This window comes from Homo sapiens, chromosome 2 (assembly GCF_000001405.40).
Source record: "Homo sapiens chromosome 2, GRCh38.p14 Primary Assembly".
NCBI classification, from domain to species: domain Eukaryota; kingdom Metazoa; phylum Chordata; class Mammalia; order Primates; family Hominidae; genus Homo; species Homo sapiens.
The window spans coordinates 91,436,520-91,455,674 of NC_000002.12; the positions used below are offsets into that span (position 1 = coordinate 91,436,520).

The window sequence follows — 19,155 nt, forward strand, 5'->3', positions numbered from 1 at the left end:
AACATGTAGAAAAATAGAGGTAAATACTGACTACATAAAACCATAAGAATAAGAATTTTGGATGATCTATATATTATATATCTATTTATCTAACATCTGTCTGTTCCTCCATCTGTAATTAAAATATATTACAGTTAGAGAACAGAGAAAAAAGTAGGAATACATGAATTTAAATTTTAATTCTTCTTAGATTGTCTCACAGCATCATTATATGACAGAAAATTTATAGGTCAGTGTCTGTTAACTATAAATGTAACATTCTTAAAGAATTCAAATACATTGAATTACAGCATGAATAAAATATTACAATCCATTCAAGTTTATTTTATTCCAGGAACACAAAAATACAAATTTCATTTGCAATTCAAGAAAAACAGAAATCGATACATATGATTGATGTATATACACATTTAATGTATTTTTAAATATACATTTTTAAAAAATAGAAATTTAACTAGGACAACTACTTAAAATATCACTGAAAATAGTGTTAGTAGATAATACCTTCCTAATAACTCTGGTATTACATAAGAAAACAAAATTAAAATTTCAGATAAGCTTAGAAACTAAAAATTTTAAAAATATTATTCTGTTCTCCATATGTTCATATTTAATATTATTTCTTGTTTTCATTCTTCTTCAGTGTTCCTCTACTAAAATATAACATACAACAGTTACTTTTGATTTCTGTTCTTATTACTCAAAATTGTATACATTTTCTCATGCTCTTAATTTAGCCATGCTACTTTTCTGTACTCCTGGAATTTTCACATTTTTGTTCACTCTCTTTTGAGTTCCCATAGTATCAAATAAGCTTTTTTCCCTCTTTTCTGATTTGAAGGTTCATCTCATAATTATTTTGTCCACTCAATTTCTTTTCATTCTCAGTTAAGGGCCTCTCATCTGGCTTCTTTTCATTTGTAAGGTTTCCTTTCATCTTAAGCCAGTCTTTTATTTATATTTTGATTTTGTTTTGTGGAGGACATGCTTTCCTGAATTTTAAGGAAGAGGCTAAAAGGTTCGTTCAAGTTTTTACCTGATACATTGGATTAAATTATCTAATGGACACACCCTTAATTTAAGTCTAGGGGCGACTGTCTACTCTTGATTTTGTATAGTATTATTTTTCTTAACATCCAAGTCCATCTTCATCTATTTGTATATGATCAATAAAAATATATTTGTCCAGAACCCTGCTTTGGTGGAGTTACTTCTTTCTAAGTAGGAGAGGTAGCAGTTGAGACATGAGCTGGGTTCTGGGTCAGTTTAGAGGGCTGGGCGACATTCCTCCTTTTGGTCTGTATGACTGAATGAATGCGGTTCTTGCTGTCTCGCTCCTCTCCTTAACACATTGAGCCATTGCAGCAGATGAGAAGGAATAATCCTGATCTGCCATTGAGGTGGAACACATGTTCTCTCCAACCACATCCATAGGTTGTACTCACACTCGGCCAGAATGTATCCTGTCAATGATATGGAGATGTATCTAGCTATCTAGTTAGATATCTACTTTGGTTTATGCTCTCTGGTTGCCCGTAAATTATCTCCTTAAAGTGAATATCAAAAGAGAGCTTGGTGATGGCAGTGTTATAAAATCCTCAAAATGCAGCACCCTCACCCAGAGGAATTTGTAGATTCTGGGATTCTAATTCAGATACCAAACTATATAAAAGGGGCATTGGTCATTGAGGGTTGCTAGGCTCTTTGTGGAGCATATTTGCTCTTTTCATGACTTTGAAATTATTTTAAAAATCTAACCTTTTTCTCAGTGTGCTGCAAGATGATTTGATTTTAATGCACGAGCACTGATTCTCCCCTAAGATTTGTACAATATATTTACTCTGACAAGCCATAGCCAGCAACTCACTTCACAGCAATTTATAGCATTTCCACGACAAGTTGAATTATTTTTAACTAGACTCTCTTTGCCTTAATCAAAATATGAAGAAGCAATATATTGTTCTAGTTAGGTTCAAAAGTTGGCAGTCTCTCTCCTGGAAAGAATAATAAAACTTTTCAGTGGCCTAATATGCATCTATAGACACACACACACACACACACACACACACACACACACACACACACAGGCACTATTCATAATATTTAAAGCACATTCTGTTCTATGACTTCATTTATCTAGCACAAAATAAAACGATCTCAGTATATGTCAAGTACCAATTATTTCGTATGGCCAATTATAGGTATTTTATTTTTTAAAGATTCGAGTGTTCTTGAAGCTCTTTCTATTTCTTTGTCAATGAACTAAACATTGGCAAATATGTAGGGTTTCCCACATAAGAACATTATTAACATCAAAATAGAAAGCTGGTGGTAGAAATAATGATTAGGAACACAGAGTCTCTACTCAGCGTTCTACTTCTGCTATACCATAAGTTTGTGATCTCACGAAATATCTCTCCATGTTGTCATCCCTATGTATAGTTCTGTCATTTTTCAATAAGAGCTTTTTGCTTAATTATGAAGTACTAGTTACTATAACCATTATTTTGAGCTTCATGTAAATCAAGAACACATGGACTCCACTTGCAAAACATTGAAAATGTAGTTAGGGATTGGGGCCTAAAGCAACATTTTAAAATGTGTAAAGACAATGAGTAAGCAACAAAGTGTCCAATTTTTTAGGGCAAATTTGCATACGTCAGGAAAAGGCAGGATTAAGTAACAGAGAATTTGAATGATAACTGGCCAATTGGTGTCGTTTACAATTGCAAGTCATACAAATGAAGTTTGCTTTTTTAAAGAGAAAAGGAGTTAGTTAGAATGGGTCAACCTATTGGGGAAGCAATGTAGTTAGAGACAATGCCCAAAACCATGTGAGCAAATGCTCTGTAGAGCGCACCCCTGCAATGCTGCCATTGTGAGGCCAAGTCTCTCCTTGTCTTGGTACTGAGCCCTCCATTCTGCCTCCATCATTGCCACTGTAGCTGCCACAAAGTGAACCCTCAACCACCGCTGCCCAGGAACAAAGAAAGAATTATGTCCTTCCGCGCTCTCAGATCAATTTCCAACATCAGGTGAGCCTTTGATGGGCACTATTCAGTTCCCATATCCCTGAAATAGATGCAGTAAAAACATAGAAATTGCCTATGTGTTTCCCAATAAGACACATATGGAAGCCTGTTTTCCCACAACAGGAAGGGTTTTCCATGATGGGTGTTCAAAGGAACAATATTCCCTGCAAACCATACTTTGCCCATGTGAAGAAAAGCAATGAGGATTATTTAGTAAATAGACATAGAAACTCATCCAGGGTTGGCTGATGAGAATCTGGTTAGCAAGGGGGTCTGCCTTCAGTTAGGACAAGGTCTGTGCTCCCCACAGGTTCTCTCCACAGCATGAGGGATGCAAACTTCCCTTTCCTCCCCTGCACCTACCCTCAAATGGCCCAGAGGTCTTCAGGTGCTAGAATTTCTCAATTAATGCTGCACAAAATAACAGACAGCCTTGGCTGTCACAGTCTGTTCTCATGAAGCTAGTCTCTGCTCACTACATAAAACAGGAGAGTAAGAACAAGGGTGTTTAACGCTACCCTAGCTCAAACAAGTTTCTCTCTGTAGGATGCCAAGAACCTGGGAACCAGTGCATCTGCTGCTTTCCCTTCTCGGATTCTAGCCCAGACAAAAGAGGCAAGGGTCATTTCTTCAGAGGCCTTGAGCTTCACTACACAATGCTCCAGGCTCTACATGCACCCTCTTTATATATTTCTACCTTGAAAAAAATTTTTATATAATATTAATAGTATATATTTCTATATAAGAAACACATATGTTTATTTTATAGACAGATATACATAGATAAAGATCTCTAGTCACCCTTTTTTAAGGCTGGGCTGATCGCGGTGCCTCAAATCTATAATCCCAGCACTTTGGGAGGCCAAGGTGGCCAGATCTCTTGAGTCCAGGAGTTGGAGATCAGCCAGGGCAACATGGTGAAACCCCATCTTTACAAAAATTAGCTAGTATGGTGTCATGCACTTGCAGTCCCTGCTACTCAGGAGACTGAGGTGGGAGAATCGCTTGAGCACAGTATGTGAAGGCTTCAGTGAGCTCTGATCACATGAATGCACCCCATCTTGGGTGACAAAGTGAAACCCTCTCTGAAAAATAAAATAAAATAAAAAGGCTACCACCATACTCACAGATAAGTGTGTCAGGTATATTTGCAGCTATCCTTCCTATATTCTATTTGGTAAAAAAAAAAAAAAAAAAAAAAAAAAAAAAAATGCAAAGAACTCTTCTCATTCTAGATTTTTGTATTACTTAGACATTTGAAGTTTATAGCAGAAGAGCTATAATCATGTTTGGTATGTGTACTCTATAGACCAGATAGTGCAAACAGATATCAATGCTTTTTAAAAGTATATAAGGTTATTAGAAATATTTTAAACTACCTATAGGTGTATATGTATCTAATTGAACTATCAAATGCAAGTAAGATCATTTCCTTAGCGTGTTAAATCCACTCAATTTATTAAAATATTTTCTAATGTCTATTACAATAATGTTTCTTAATTAGCTAACATAAGAGGAGTTTTAAGACATTTATTTATATGTACTTACTAGATTCAAACTCGATTCCACTATTTTCAGAAATCATGCTCTGAGACAAGTCCTTTTTTTATCTAACTATGTTTCTGCCTATATTAAAAGACAGATATGTCCATTTTGCTAATCATGCTGTTCCAAACCTCTCCATCCTATTTTTCGGTTTGTTCTAGCAGTCATTCAGAGACTTACTTATATTCAAATTTCTCTCTAGGTTTAACATTTGTGTATGTCTTCTTGTGGTTTTGTCTATTTTTGCTGTATATAAGACATTTATTGACATATATCATACATGCAGAAAAGTACAATGATTAAATATGGATAGCTTCATTAATGAAACACATGTATTTGCTTATAACCATGTATGAAAATAGAACATTACTAAAAATAGTGATACTTCTCCTGCCCCTTTCCAAACACTAACCCTCATCCTCAATAGCAACAGATTTTTTTTTATCATAATTTGGTCTATTTTCAAATTTTTATTAAATAAATCAGAGTATCTACTCTAAGTCTATGTTTCTCTCATTGTTGCTATTTTGCTTATAGTATTTATCTGCTAATGGACATGGTAGATTAAAGACGGCTACATACACATTTTTTAATTAATAGATTTTTTGAGCACTTTGTGGCTCATGCCTCTAATCCCATCACTTTGGGAGGCTGAGGTGCGTGGATCATGAGGTCAGGAGATCCAGACAATCCTGGCCAATGTGGTAAAACCCCTTCTCTACTAAACTACAAAAAATTAGCTGATAGATAACATCAAGATAACATCTGGGTTCTTAGCTGCACTGAGTCAAGCCAACTTACATCTTTGTTTGTCTTCCTCTGCACTTTTCCTTCCACATCACACTCCAGGAATGCCAAGCTGTGCTGGCCTTCTACCCCATTTCCACTACTTTGCCCCCGCCGACGCGGCTTTTTGCCGCCATGGATTTTTGCCCCCGCTGCTGCGGGTTTTTGCGGCTTTATGCCTCCGCCGCCTCGACTTTTTGCCCCCGCCTCCGTTGCTTTCTGCCCCGGCCACCACGGCTTTCTGCCCCCGGCCTCGCGGAATTTAGCCCCTGCTGCCGCGGCTTTTTGGGGATCTTTGCCCTCGCAGCCGCGGCTTTTTGCCGCCGCAGCTTTTTGCGTCTTTCTCCCCCCACCGCCGCGGCTTTTTGCGGCTTTTTTCCCCCTGCCGCTGCAGCTTTTTGCCCCCGCCACCGCGACTTTTTCCGCCGCGGCTTTTTGCCACCGCCGCCGCGGCTTTTTATGACTTTTGGCCCCCGGCGCCGTGGCTTTTTACGGCTTTTCGCCCCCGCCGCCGCAGGTTTTTCCCGCCGCGGCTTCTTGCCCCCGCCGCCCCGGCTTTTTGCGGCTTTTTGCCGCCGCGGCTTTTGGCCCCCGCCGCCGCGACTTTTTTCCCCTGTCGCCGCAGGTTTCTCCTGCCCCGGCTTCTTGCCCCCACCGCCCGGGCTTTTTGCCCCCACCGCCGCGGCTATTTGCGGCTATTTGCACCTGCCACCGCGGAGTTTTGCCCCGTATGCGGCTTCCTGCCCCCGCCGCCGCGGGTTTTTATCACCCCCGCCGCTTTTTGCCCCCGCCGCCGCGGGTTTTTGCCCCCGCCCCCGTTGCTTTTTACCCCCGCCGCTGCGGCTTTCTGCCCCTGCCGACGAGGGTTTTTGCGGCTTTATATCCCCGCTGTCGTGGCTTTTTGCCGCCGTGGCTTTTTGCCCCCTCAGCCGTGGTTTTTTGCGGCTTTTGGCACCCGTCGCCGCCGCTTTTTGGGGCTTTTGGTGCCCGCCGCCGCGGCTTTTTTCCCCCGCCGCCGCAGATTTTTCCCGCCGCGGCTTTTTGCCGCCCCTGCTTTTTGCCCCCCTCCCCCCGCAGCCGCTTTCTGCCCCCGCCGCCGCATCTTTTTGCCGCCGCGGCTTTTTGCCCCCGCCGTCGCGGCTTTTTGCCCCCAATGCTGCGGCTTTTTACGGCTTTTTGTGCCCATCACCGTAGCTTTTTGCCTCCGCCACCACAGCTTTTTGCCTCCGCCACCGCGGCTTTTTGACCCCGCCGCCATGGCTTGTTGCCCCCGTCGCCCTGGCCTTTTCCCCCACCGCCCCGGCTTTTTGCGCCCACCGCTGCAGTTTTTTGCCCCCACCGCCGCGGGTCTGAGGGCTGGATCCGCAGACTTGGCTGCCAGCTCTACCGGCGTCCTGACTAAGGCAGCGCCAAGGGGCGCTCCTGGTCCAGCTCTCCCGAATCAGGGGTTCCTTGCCTAGACGCCGGCGCCCAGGGCTCCGCTCCTGGGCTGCTGCAGCCCGCATAGAGCGGCGCTGCGCTCGGCTGCAATGGGAGAGAAGAAGGAGGGCAGTGGCGGGGGTGACGCGGCTATCGCGTAGGGAGGCACAGGGGCCGCGGCCAGCCGGGCGCTGCAGCAGTGCGGGCAGCTCCAGAAGCTCATCGGCATCTCCGTTGGCAGCCTGCGCGGGCTGCGCACCAAGTGCGCTGTGTCCAAGGACCTCACCCAGCAGGAGATACGGACCCTGGAGGTAAGGGGGTCAGGGACCAGGGCTGGGCTCCAGCACCAGACTGGACACCTCCATCTGGGCCCCAGTTCACTCCTGGCCGAGTTGCATCCTTGAGCCCACGTCGCCCCTTTGGAGGCTTCTCCTCCCTCCTGCACTCGCTGATGCGGCAGCCGGAGGACCTGGGACCAGCCCTCACCTTGGGCAGGATTTGTGGAGCGGTTGCGTGTTGGGAACTGTGATGGATGCTCAAGGGGCCCATGGGCGGGGTGGGCTGCACGCGGACATCCCCTTACCCCCTGAATTGCCATCTGGTCCAGCCCTCTCATCTTGTAGGTGAGGAAACCGAAGGCCTGAGGGAGAAATGACTTGCCAGGAACCCCTGTTAAGGAGAATTAACAAAGAGTGGTTATTAAAGGAGCACTGAGTTGGGAGTCAGACCTGGAGGCCCGCACCCTTGGTTAAGACATTATAACACCTTGAGTCTGGCCTGTTGACTGAGGGTGAGCCACTCCATCCTCGTCTGATTGTGGGGTCTTGACCTCAAGGGGTTTCCTGCAGGAAGAAGCAAATGGGTTTGCCTCCCTAGCTCTGTCCAGTACCTTAGGGACCCTGAGAACTAGAGAGATTCTTGGAGAGCCATCTGGTGTATGTCATGGGTGGGCCTTGTTTGAAGGTCAGTCTGCCCAGTGGGCTGGCTCAGCCCGAATGAACTCTCTTGAATCTTTGGAGTTTTCTGTGTACTTTTAAGGGTTTCTCATCCTTGCACCAAAAGATCTCCTGGAAATTAGGTGGGAAAACCTTAACTTTTGTGGGGCCTTGTGTTTGTCTTAAAAGTTCATGCACATGGCCAGGTGTGGTGGCTCACGCCTGTTATCCTGTCCTGGATCACTTGAGTCAAGGAGTTTGAGACCAATCTGGACAACATAGTGAGACCCCGTCTCTACAAAAAAAAAAAAAAAAATAGTAGCCAGGGGTGGTTGTGCACATCTGTAGTCCTACCTACTACTGTGGCTGAGGAGGGAGGAGCACTTGAGCCTGCACTGAGCTGTGATCTCACCAGTGTATTCCAGCCTGGGCCACACAGCAACACCTTGACTCAAAAAAGAAAAACCAACAAGAAAAATTCTTGAAGATTTTACATTCTGTCTCACTATCGATTGGTTTTCATGTCAAGATAATGTCAGAAATTCTTTACAATTGCTTCCAGAAGGAGTAGCCTTTTGATCTAGTGCACAGGTGTCCAGTCTTTTGGCTTCTCAGGGCCACATTGGAAGAAGAATGCTCCTGGGCCACAGATAAAATACACTACTGCTAATGATAGCTGAGGAGCTTAAAGAAAAAAAGGTTTGTGCATAATTTTCATGATACCCACCACCACAGATAGGCTGAAAAGTCCTTGTAGTCAAAGGGTTGGACACAGCTGATCTAGTGTCTTGTCGTCCGTTTTGACTTTCTCCCTGACTCCAGAATGCAGGTAGAGGTGTAGAGACGTGCTCTCAGGACAGGTGTTGAGATAAAAAAATTCGTTGTCATTTATTCCCAAGGACAGCTGTTTGTCATTTGTATTGAAAAAGTTTCCATTCAAACCGCTGTCACATATAAAATCTATTTATATGTCTGTATGTTTCTGTTGTCTTGGCTTTTGTGGGCAGCAGTGTGTTTTAATGGAGCAAACTGTCCTTCCAAATAATGAAGCCGAAGTCAGCCTACCTGCTTGCCATTTTTCTTCCCCTTCCATTTTTCTAACCTCAGGATAATTGTAAGAATGAATTAAGATTTGTGTTTAAGGCCAGGCACAGTGTCTCAGGCCTGTAATCTCAGCACTTTGGGAGGCAGAGACGGATGTATCGCTTGAGCTCAGGAGTTGAAGACCAGCCTTGGCAACATACTGAGACTCTGTCTTGTATAATTAAATTAATATTTAAAAAAAGGAAAGAAAAGGACCAGTGTTTAAAATTTAAAAAAAAGGGGGGGAAAGTATAATGCAAAATGTGGACTATGCTAGCTATGATTGGGAAAAATAATTTTTCATACAGCATTATCTGTTGACTTGTATTAGCAGCACACTGGTCATAAGCGTTTTGCTTTCATCAAATATGAGGTAAGCTACTTTAAAGTGTGGTGGGGCTTTCTTCCGCATGGCTCCTGGAGGTGTTGAGTCCCAATTTAGCCAATTAATTGGGGTTTAGTTTTGATATGGATAAGGGAGACCGGCTTCATTCATGATGCACACACAGTTTTGCCAGTAAGGAAAAAAAACGCAACCTGAATGTTTCTACTCATTAGATGCTATCTGGAGAGCTCCTACCCCAATGCCACAAAGGCCCAGGCCCTTAAAAAGACTCAATGCAGCCTTTGTGTGTCTCATACTGTATTCTGCAAGATACTCCTGTGAAAGAAATTTGTGCTGCATCAGCCATCTCCCTCCTGAAGATCCCTGCGGATGACGATTTGTGTTTTAAAGGTTCTGAGAAGTCCTGCAAAAACAGTTCTCAAACTTATTTGTCCAGGGGATCTTTTCTTCCACTGAACATAGTTGGGTAGACACGGCCTTAAGCCTTGAGCAGAGAAAGAGACAAGAAACTGTTGGCTCACTTACAACCAAGTGTTGTGTTTATGTTTTAGGTTTTTATGAAACTGAGGTGCTGTTTGAGGTTCTGAATCAAATTGGGTGGTTGAAGAGAGGCTGGTATACCTGTAGACTTAGCCAGCCATGAGAGGTTGACTTCTGTTGAAGGAGGTGTTTTACAAAGGGAAATAGGGTGTCTCCTGGGCATCACATTAGCACTTAAATACATGTATCACCGAAATGAAATGAAATGAAATGATGAAAATGATGACATGAAATGAAATGAAATGATGAAATGATGAAACGAAATGATGAAATGAAGAAATGAAATGAAATGACAAAATGATGAAATGAAATGAAATGATGAGATGAGATGAAATGGTGAAATGAAATGAAATGCTGAAATGAAATGAAATGATGAAATGATGAAATGGAATGATGAAATGAAATGATGAAATGGTGAAATGAAATGAGGAAATGAAATGAAATGCTGAAATGAAATGATGAAGTGAAATGGTGAAATGAAATGAAATGAAATGATGAAATGAAATGAAAAGATGAAATGATGAAATGGAATGATGAAATGGAATGATGAAATGAAATGATGAAATGGTGAAATGAAATGAGGAAATGAAATGAAATGCTGAAATGAAATGATGAAGTGAAATGGTGAAATGAAATGAAATGATGAAATGAAATGAAAAGATGAAATGATGAAATGAAGAAATGGTATGAAATGATGAAATGAAATGACAAAATGAAGTGAAATGATGAAATAATGAAATGAGGGGTGGAGCCAAGATGGCTGAATAGGAACAGCTCTGGTCTACAGCTCCCAGCGTGAGCGACGCAGAAGACGGGTGATTTCTGCATTTCCATCTGAGGTACCGGGTTCATCTCACTAAGGGAGTGCCAAACAGTGGGTGCAGGACAGTGGATGCAGTGCACCATGTGGGAGCCGAAGCAGGGAGAGGCATTGCCTCACTCAGAAAGCACAAGGGGTCAGGGAGTTCCCTTTCCTAGTCAAAGAAAGGGGTGACAGACTGCACCTGGAAAATAGGGTCACTCTCAACCTAATACTGTACTTTTCCAACAGGCTTGGAAAACAGCACACCAGGAGATTGTGTCCCGCACCTGGCTCAGAGGGTCTTATGCCAATGGAGTCTTGCTGATTGCTAGCACAGCACTCTGAGATCAAACTGCAAGGCAGCAGCGAGGCTGGTGGAGTGGGACCCGCCATTGCCCAGGCTTTCTTAGGTAAACAAAGCAGCCAGGCAGCTGGAACTGGGTGGAGCCCACAACAGCTCCAGGAGGCCTGCCTGCCTCTGTAGGCTCCACCTCTGGGGGCAGGGCACAGACACACAAAAAGTCAGCAGTAACCTCTGCAGACTTAAATGTCCCTGTCTGACAACTTTGAAGAGAGTAGTGGTTCTCCCAGCACGCAACTGGAGATCTGAGAATGGGCAGACTGCCTCCTAAAGTGGGTCACTGAACCCCAAGCAGCCCAACTGGGAGGCACCCTCCAGTAGGGACAGACTGACACCTCACTCGGCCGGGTAGTCCTCTGAGACCAAACTTCCAGAGGAATGATCAGATAGCTGAATTTGTGATTCACGAAAATCCGCTGTTCTGCAGCCACCGCTGCTGATACCCAGGCAAACAGGATCTGGCGTGGACCTCTAGAAAACTCCAACAGACCTGCAGCTGAGGGTCGTGTCTGTTAGAAGGAAAACTGACAAACAGAAAGGACACCCACACCAAAAACCCATCTGTACATCACCATCATCAAAGACCAAAAGTTGATAAAACCACAAAGATAGGGAGAAAACAGAAAAACTGGAAACTCTAAAAAGCAGAGTGCCTCTCCTTCTCCAAAGGAACGCAGTTCCTCACCAGCAACAAAACTGGACAGAGAATAACTTTGATGATTTGAGAGAAGAAGGCTTCAGATGATCAAACTACTGTGAGCTACAGGAGGAAATTCAAACCAATAGCAAAGAAGTTAAAAACTTTGAAAAACAATTAGACGAGTGTATAACTGGAATAACCAATGCAGACAAATGCTTAAAGGATCTGATGGAGCTGAAAGCCAAGTTTCGAGAACTACGTGAAGAAGGCAGAAGCCTCAGGAGCCAATGCAATCAACTGGAAGAAAAGGTATCAGTGATGGAAGATGAAATGAATGAAATGAAGGGAGAAGGGAAGTTTAGAGAAAAAAGAATAAGAAGAAATGAACAAAGCCTCCAGGAATTATGGGACTATGTGAAAAGACCAAACCTACGTCTGATTGGTGTAGCTGAAAGTGACGGGGAGAATGGAACTAAGTTGGAAAACACTCTGCAAGATATTATCCAGGAGGACTTCCCCAATCTAGTAAGGCAGGCCAACATTCAGATTCAGGAAACACAGAGAACGCCACAAGGATACTCCTTAAGAAGAGGAACTCCAAGACACATAATTGTCAAATTCACCAAAGATGAAATGAAGGAAAAAATGTTAAGGGCAGCCAGAGAGAAAGGTCCGGTTACCCACAAAGGGAAGCCCATCAGACTAACAGCTGATCTCTCAGCAGAAACTCTTCAAGCCAGAAGAGAGTGGGGGCCAATATTCAACATTCTTAAAGAAAGTAATTTTCAACCCAGAATTTCATATCCAGCCAAACTAAGCTTCATAAGTGAAGGAGAAATAAAATCCTTTACAGACAAGCAAATGCTCAGAAATTTTATCACCACCAGGCCTGCCCTAAAAGAGCTCCTGAAGGAAGCACTAAACATGGAAAGGAACAACTGGTACCAGCCACTGCGAAAACATGCCAAATTGTAAAGACCATCAAGACTAGGAAGAAACTGCATCAACTAACGAGCAAAATAACCAGCTAACATCATAATGACAGGATCAAATTCACACATAACAATATTAATTTTAAATGTAAATGGGCTAAATGCTCCAATTAAAAGACACAGACTGGCAAATTGGATAAGAAGACAAGACCCATCAGTGTGCTGTATTCAGGAAACCCATCTCACATGCAGAGACACACATAGACTCAAAATAAAGCAATGGAGGAAGATCTACCAAGCAAATGGAAAACAAAAAAAGGCAGGGGTTGCAATCCTAGTCTCTGATAAAGCAGACTTTAAACCAAAAAAGATCAAAAGAGACAAAGAAGGCCATTACATAATGGTAAAGGGATCAATTCAACAAGAAGAGCTAACTATCCTAAATATATATGCACCCAAAACAGGAGCACCCAGATTCATAAAGCAAGTCCTGAGTGACCTACAAAGAGACTTAGACTCCCCCACAATCATAAGGGGAGATTTTATCACGCCACTGTCAACATTAGACAGATCAACGAGGCAGAAAGTTAGCAAGGACACCCAGGAATTGAACTCAGCTCTGCACCAAGCGCACCTAATAGACATCTATGGAACTCTCCACCCCAAATCAACAGAATATACATTTTTTTCAGCACCACACCACACCCATTCCGAACTTGATCACATAGTTGGAAGTAAAGCTCTCCTCAGCAAATGTAAAAGAACAGAAATTATAACAAACTGTCTCTGACACCACAGTGCAATCAAACTAGAACTCAGGATCAAGAAACTCACTCAAAACCGCTCAACTATATGGAAAATGAACAACCTGCTCCGGAATGACCACTGGGTACATAACAAAATGAAGGCAGAAATAAAGATGTTCTTTGAAACCAACGAGAACAAAGACAAAACATACCAGAATCTCTGGGACACACTCAAAGCAGTGTGTAGAGGGAAAGTTATAGCACTAAATGCCCACAAGAGAAAGCAGGAAAGATCCAAAATTGACACTCTAACATCACAATTAAAAGAACTTGAAAAGCAAGAGCAAACACATTCAAAAGCTAGCAGAAGGCAAGAAATAACTAAAATCAGGGCAGAACTGAAGGAAATAGAGACACAAAAAACCCTTCAAAAAATTAATGAATCCAGGAGCTGTTTTTTTGAAAAGATCAACAAAATTGATAGACCACTAGGAAGACTAATAAAGAAGAAAAGAGAGAAGAATCAAATAGATGCAACAAAAAATGATAAAGGGGTTATCACCACCGATCCCACAGAAATACAATCTACAATCACAGACAACTACAAACACCTCTATGCAAATAAACTAGAAAATCTAGAAGAAATGGATAAATTCCTTGACACATACAGTCTCCCAAGACTAAACAAGGAAGAAGTTGAATCTCTGAATAGACCAATAACAGGCTCTGAAATTGTGGCAATAATCAATAGGTTACCAACCAAAAAGAGTCCAGGACCAGATGGATTCACAGCCGAATTCTACCAGAGGTACAAGGAGGAACTGGTACCATTCCTTCTGAAACTATTCCAGTCAATAGAAAAAGAGGGATTCCTCTCTAACTAATTTTATGAGGCCAGCATCATCCTGATACCAAAGCCGGGCAGAGACACAACCAAAAAAGAGAATTTTAGACCAATATCCTTCATGAACATTGATGCAAAAATCGTCAATAAAATCCTGCAAACCGAATCCAGCAGCACATCAAAAAGCTTATCCACCATGATCAAGTGGGCTTCATCCCTGGGATGCAAGGCTGGTTCCACATATGCAAATCAATAAACGTAATCCAGCATATAAACCTAACCAAAGACAAAAACCACATGATTATCTCAATAGAAGAAGAAAAGGCCTTTGACAAAATTCAACAGCCCTTCATGCTAAGAATTCTCAATAAATTAGGTATTGATGGGAAGTATCTCAAAATAATAAGAGCTATCTATGACACACCCACAGCCAATATCATACTGAATGGGCAAAAACTGGAAGCATTCCTTTTGAAAACTGGCACACGACAGGGATATCCTCTGTCACCGCTCCTATTCAACATAGTGTTGGAAGTTCTGGCCAGGGCAATCAGGCAGGAGAAGGAAACAAAGGGTATTCAATTAGGAGAAGAGGAAGTAAAATTGTCCCTGTTTGCAGATGACATGATTGTATATCTAGAATACCCCATTGTCTCGGCGCAAAACCTCCTTAAGCTGATAAGCAACTCCAGCAAAGTCTCAGGATACAAAATCAATGTACAAAAATTACAAGCATTCTTGTACATCAATAACAGACAAACAGAGTGCCCAATCATGAGGGAACTCCCATTCACAATTGCTCCAAAGAGAATAAAATACCTAGGAACCCAACTTACAAGGGACATGACGGACGTCTCCAAGGAGAACTACAAACCACTGCTCAATGAAATAAAAGAGGATACAAACAAATGGAAGAACATTCCATGCTCATGGGTTGGAAGAATCAATATCGTGAAAATGGCCATACTGCCCAAGGTAATTTATAGATTCAATGCCATACCCATCAACCTACCAATGACTTTCTTCACAGAATTTGAAAAAACGTCTTTAAAGTACATGTGGAACCAAAAAAGAGCCCACATTGCCAAGTCAATCCTAAGCCAAAGGAACAAAGCATCACGCTACCCGATTTCAAACTATACTACAAGGCTACAGTAACCAAAACAGCATGTTACTGGTACAAAAACACAGACATAGATCAATGGAACAGAACGGAGCCCTCAGAAATAATGCCGCATAACTACAACTGTCTGATCTTTGACAAACCTGAGAAAAACAAGAAATGGGGAAAGGATTCCCTATTTAATAAATGGTGCTGGGAAAACTGGCTAGCCATATGTAGAAAGCTGAAACTGGATCCCTTCCTTACACCTTATGCAAAAATTAATTCAAGTTGGATCAAAGACTTACATGTTAGACCTAAAACCATAAAAACCCTAGAAGACAACCTAGGCAATACCGTTCAGGACATAGGCGTGAGCAAGGACTTCATGTCTAAAACACCAAAAGCAATGGGAACAAAAGCCAAAATTGACAAATGGGATCTAATTAAACTAAAGAGCTTCTGCACAGTAAAAGAAATTACCATCAGAGTGAACAGGCAACCTACAAAATGGGAGAAAATTTTTGCAACTTACTCATCTGACAAAGGGCTAATAACCAGAATCCACAATGAACTCAAACAAATTTACAAGTAAAAAACAAACAACCCCATCAAAAAGTGGGTGAAGAACACGAGCAGACACTTCTCAAAAGAAGACATTTATGCATCCAAAAAACACATGAAAAAATGCTCATAATCACTGGCCATCAGAGAAATGCAAATCAAAACCACAATGAGATACCATCTCACACCAGTTAGAATGGCGATCATTAAAAAGTCAGGAAACGGCAGGTGCTGGAGAGCATGTGGAGAAATAGGAACAATTTTACACTGTTGGTGGGACTGTAAACTAATTCAAACATTGTGGAAGTCAGTGTGGCGATTCCTCAAGTATCTAGAACTAGAAATACCATGTGACCCAGCCATTCCATTACTGGGTATATACACAAAGGACTATGAATCATGCTGCAATAAAGACACATGCACACATATGTTTATTGCGGCAGTATTCAGAATAGCAAAGACTTGGAACCATCCCAAATGTCCAACAACGATAGACTGGATTAAGAAAATGTGGCACATATACACCATGGAGTACTATGCAGCCATAAAAAATGATGAGTTCATGTCCTATGTAGGGACATGGATGAAACTGGAAATCATCATTCTCAGTAAACTCTCGCAAGGAGAAAAAACCAAACACCACATGTTCTCATTCATAGGTGGGTATTGAACAATGAGAACACACGGACACAGGAAGGGGTACATCACACTTCGGGGACTGTTGTGGGGTGGGGGGAGTGGGGAGGGATAGCATTAGGAGATATACCTAATGCTAAATGACGAGTTAATGGGTGCAGCACAGCAACATGGCACATGAACCCTTATGTTAAAAACCTGCACATTGTGCACATGTATCCTAAAACTTAAGGTATAATAATAAAATAAAATAAAATAAAAAAACAAAATATACACTAATACACATTAACCAACTTAAAAAAATAGTAGAGAAAGGTCATTTAAAAAATATGAAGGATAGAGTAATAATCTAACACGTTGAAATCTAAGAAGGAGAAAACAGCTTGTCTGAACAGCATTTTAAGTGGCAATGTTAGAGGTTTTATCAAAATTGACCAATAATATTAAACCTCAGGTTCAGGAGACTTTTCAAAGCAAAGGAAAACACACACAGAGGACACATCTAGAAACATAATGGGGCAATTTCTGAAAAGTAAAAGAAAAATGTAAAGAGCACTTGATAAAAAAAAAAAATTGGACTAACTACAAAGAGAAAGAGTTGACTGATAACAACTTTCTCAAATGAAACAACGAAAGCCAACAAGTGAGGTACTGATATCTTTCAAGTCCTGAAATAAAATAAGTGCTGACCTAGAACTGTCTACTTGGTGGACATATCCATCAAAACAAAGATACAATAAAGAATTTCTCCCAAGCAGACACACAGGAAAAGAAATACTAAACATTATTCTTCAGGTAGAAGAGCCATGATCCCTGATGAAAATTTGCATTTAGAAGAACAATTTTTTTAATGAAAGAAATAAACATAGAGAGAAATTTAATTGGATATCGACTGTATAACAGAATGCTATCTCATAAAGTTTAAAATATATCTTCCGTACAATGGCAGAAGCATATAAGTTGTGAGTTGGATAAATTAATTTTAAAATATTGTCAAGTTTTTTTTTTTTTTTTTTTTTTTTTTGCAAATAGACAAATGGACCAATTACATTAGACCCTGAATCCAAGAATACACGTTGTATTAAACCAGGTAAAATATAACCAGACCAGATTTTTTAAATGGACTCTCTTAAAGTTTTTATAATTTATATTCATATTTCACATATGTTGAAAGTAAATAATGGAAAAGCATGCAATGCAAATATTAACCAAAATATAGCTTTAGTTGTACTTATATTCACATTTTAAAAGTTGGACACAGTTAAGTCTCAGTGATTTTTTTACACAACGGAGGCAAGCTGTGCAGTTTTAACTAGTATTATATTATGCTCTTGGCCTGATTACAGAAGGGAAAGGGGAGATCATACCAGACAATGGCAGAATGAAGCAACAAGGAGTAGAGTTACAGAACATGATGCTGTAACTTGGACTGGAGTTACTCTTTTCGAGTTAAAGAATAGTAAACAGGACAAAATATATGAAACATTTTTTTGAAGTACTGAACATCGGCAGCGCAGGACTGTGCTCTGCAAGAGAAGAGAAGGAGCCAGAATGAGTCCTGCATTATTCCCAGATTCTCCGTGACAGCAGTAGAGAAGAATCCCAGAGACAGCAGACATTGTCATTGCACTGAGGAACCAGATAAAAATCAAAAAAGGTTAAGTAGCTGGAATGTGTAGTAGAAGAGAACGTTTACAGAAAAAGGAACCAAGAATCAGCCTAAGGATTCTCCCAAGTCCCTAAGCCAAATGTACATAGGATGAAATTCTAAGGAGCTCAGCAAAAGACTCTACCAGGGAGTTGGAAGAAGAACACTTCCCTGGCATCACATGACAGGAAGACACGTTAGTTGTGACCAGCCAGAGATGGGAATCCCCTCTGTACCTCCAGGATATTCAGTAAAGACCACTGGAGGTTCATGCCCTAGTGACAGTGCTCATTTAGCTCCAAATTACAGATGGCTCTAGACTAACTCAACAAATTTTAAAGAGGAGATTTAAAGCAACAACAGAAAAATACTCATCCTGAAGTTACTGAACTGCCTGCCACAACATTGTTCAAAGGTAGCCAATCAAATCTAGATATTCAATAGCATAACACCAAAATACCCCCCCCCAAAAAAAACTCTGACATGCAAAGAAGCCGTAAGATATATATAATTAAGATATATATTAACAGGATAAAAATAAGTCATTTATAAATGACAGAAAAGAAGGAAATTTCAAGGTCCTTAAAGTAAATATATTTTATAAATACATATAGATAAATACATATATATGTCAAGGTACTTAAATGAAAATTGAACATAGGAGAAAAATAGAAGTTATAAAATGAAAAATATGACATGTATAGATGAAAAATAAATATTTTAAATAAAAATTCCATGAGATAGAATAAGTAATGGATTTTACCCTAACATCAGAAAATTTATAGAACAAAATAGAAGCTTTACAAACTAAAGGACAAAGGGTAAACTAAAATAAGAAAGCCAGAAACTCACTGATACGTCAGACAATATGCAGCAGTGTAACATACATGTAATTAATATCTCAAAAAGGATGGGTGGGGGAATTACAGGTGAATAAAGAATGGTACACTCATTCCTGAGGGCACCGAGGAGGGAGGATAGCTTTAGATTCCTAAGGGAGGGTATTATCCATTCATGAAGGTCGAACCCCATGACCAAACACCTCCCAGTAAGCCCCACCTGCAATATTGGGGATCAAATTTTAACCTGAGATTGGAAGGGGCAAGCATTCAAACCATAGCAAGAGTTAAATTTCCTTTTAAAAAAAATCACCGATATGATTCCATTTCGCCATAGATAAAAGCTAGTATTTCA

At 41.1% G+C, this 19,155-nt stretch overlaps 1 protein-coding gene across 1 annotated transcript; it reads right to left on the reverse strand.

Annotated features, from left to right (window-relative positions):
• Positions 1-5,536: 5,536 nt before the first annotated feature.
• LOC124905938 (uncharacterized protein FLJ46347-like) lies at positions 5,537-7,582 on the reverse strand. Its single transcript, XM_047446871.1, has 5 exons — positions 7,548-7,582; positions 7,366-7,451; positions 6,677-7,087; positions 6,133-6,210; positions 5,537-5,944 (listed from the first exon to the last, which is right to left on the reverse strand). The coding sequence occupies exons 2-5, from the start codon at positions 7,396-7,398 to the stop codon at positions 5,537-5,539; spliced, it is 930 nt and encodes a 309-aa protein (XP_047302827.1). The 5' UTR covers positions 7,399-7,451; positions 7,548-7,582.
• Positions 7,583-19,155: the final 11,573 nt, after the last annotated feature.

Bases quoted from the DNA above. Each gene is read 5' to 3' on its own strand.
- LOC124905938 (XM_047446871.1), bottom strand. From the start codon at position 7,398: ATGAGAGGGCTGGACCAGATGGCAATTCAGGGG. The intron at 6,211-6,676 runs GCGCAAAAAGCC...CGGCAGGGGCAG, and splicing joins GCAAAAAACTGCAGCGGTGG to AAAGCCGCAGCGGCGGGGGT. The intron at 5,945-6,132 runs GTGATAAAAACC...GGGGGCCAAAAG, and splicing joins GGGGGCAAAAAGCGGCGGGG to CCGCGGCGGCAAAAAGCCGC.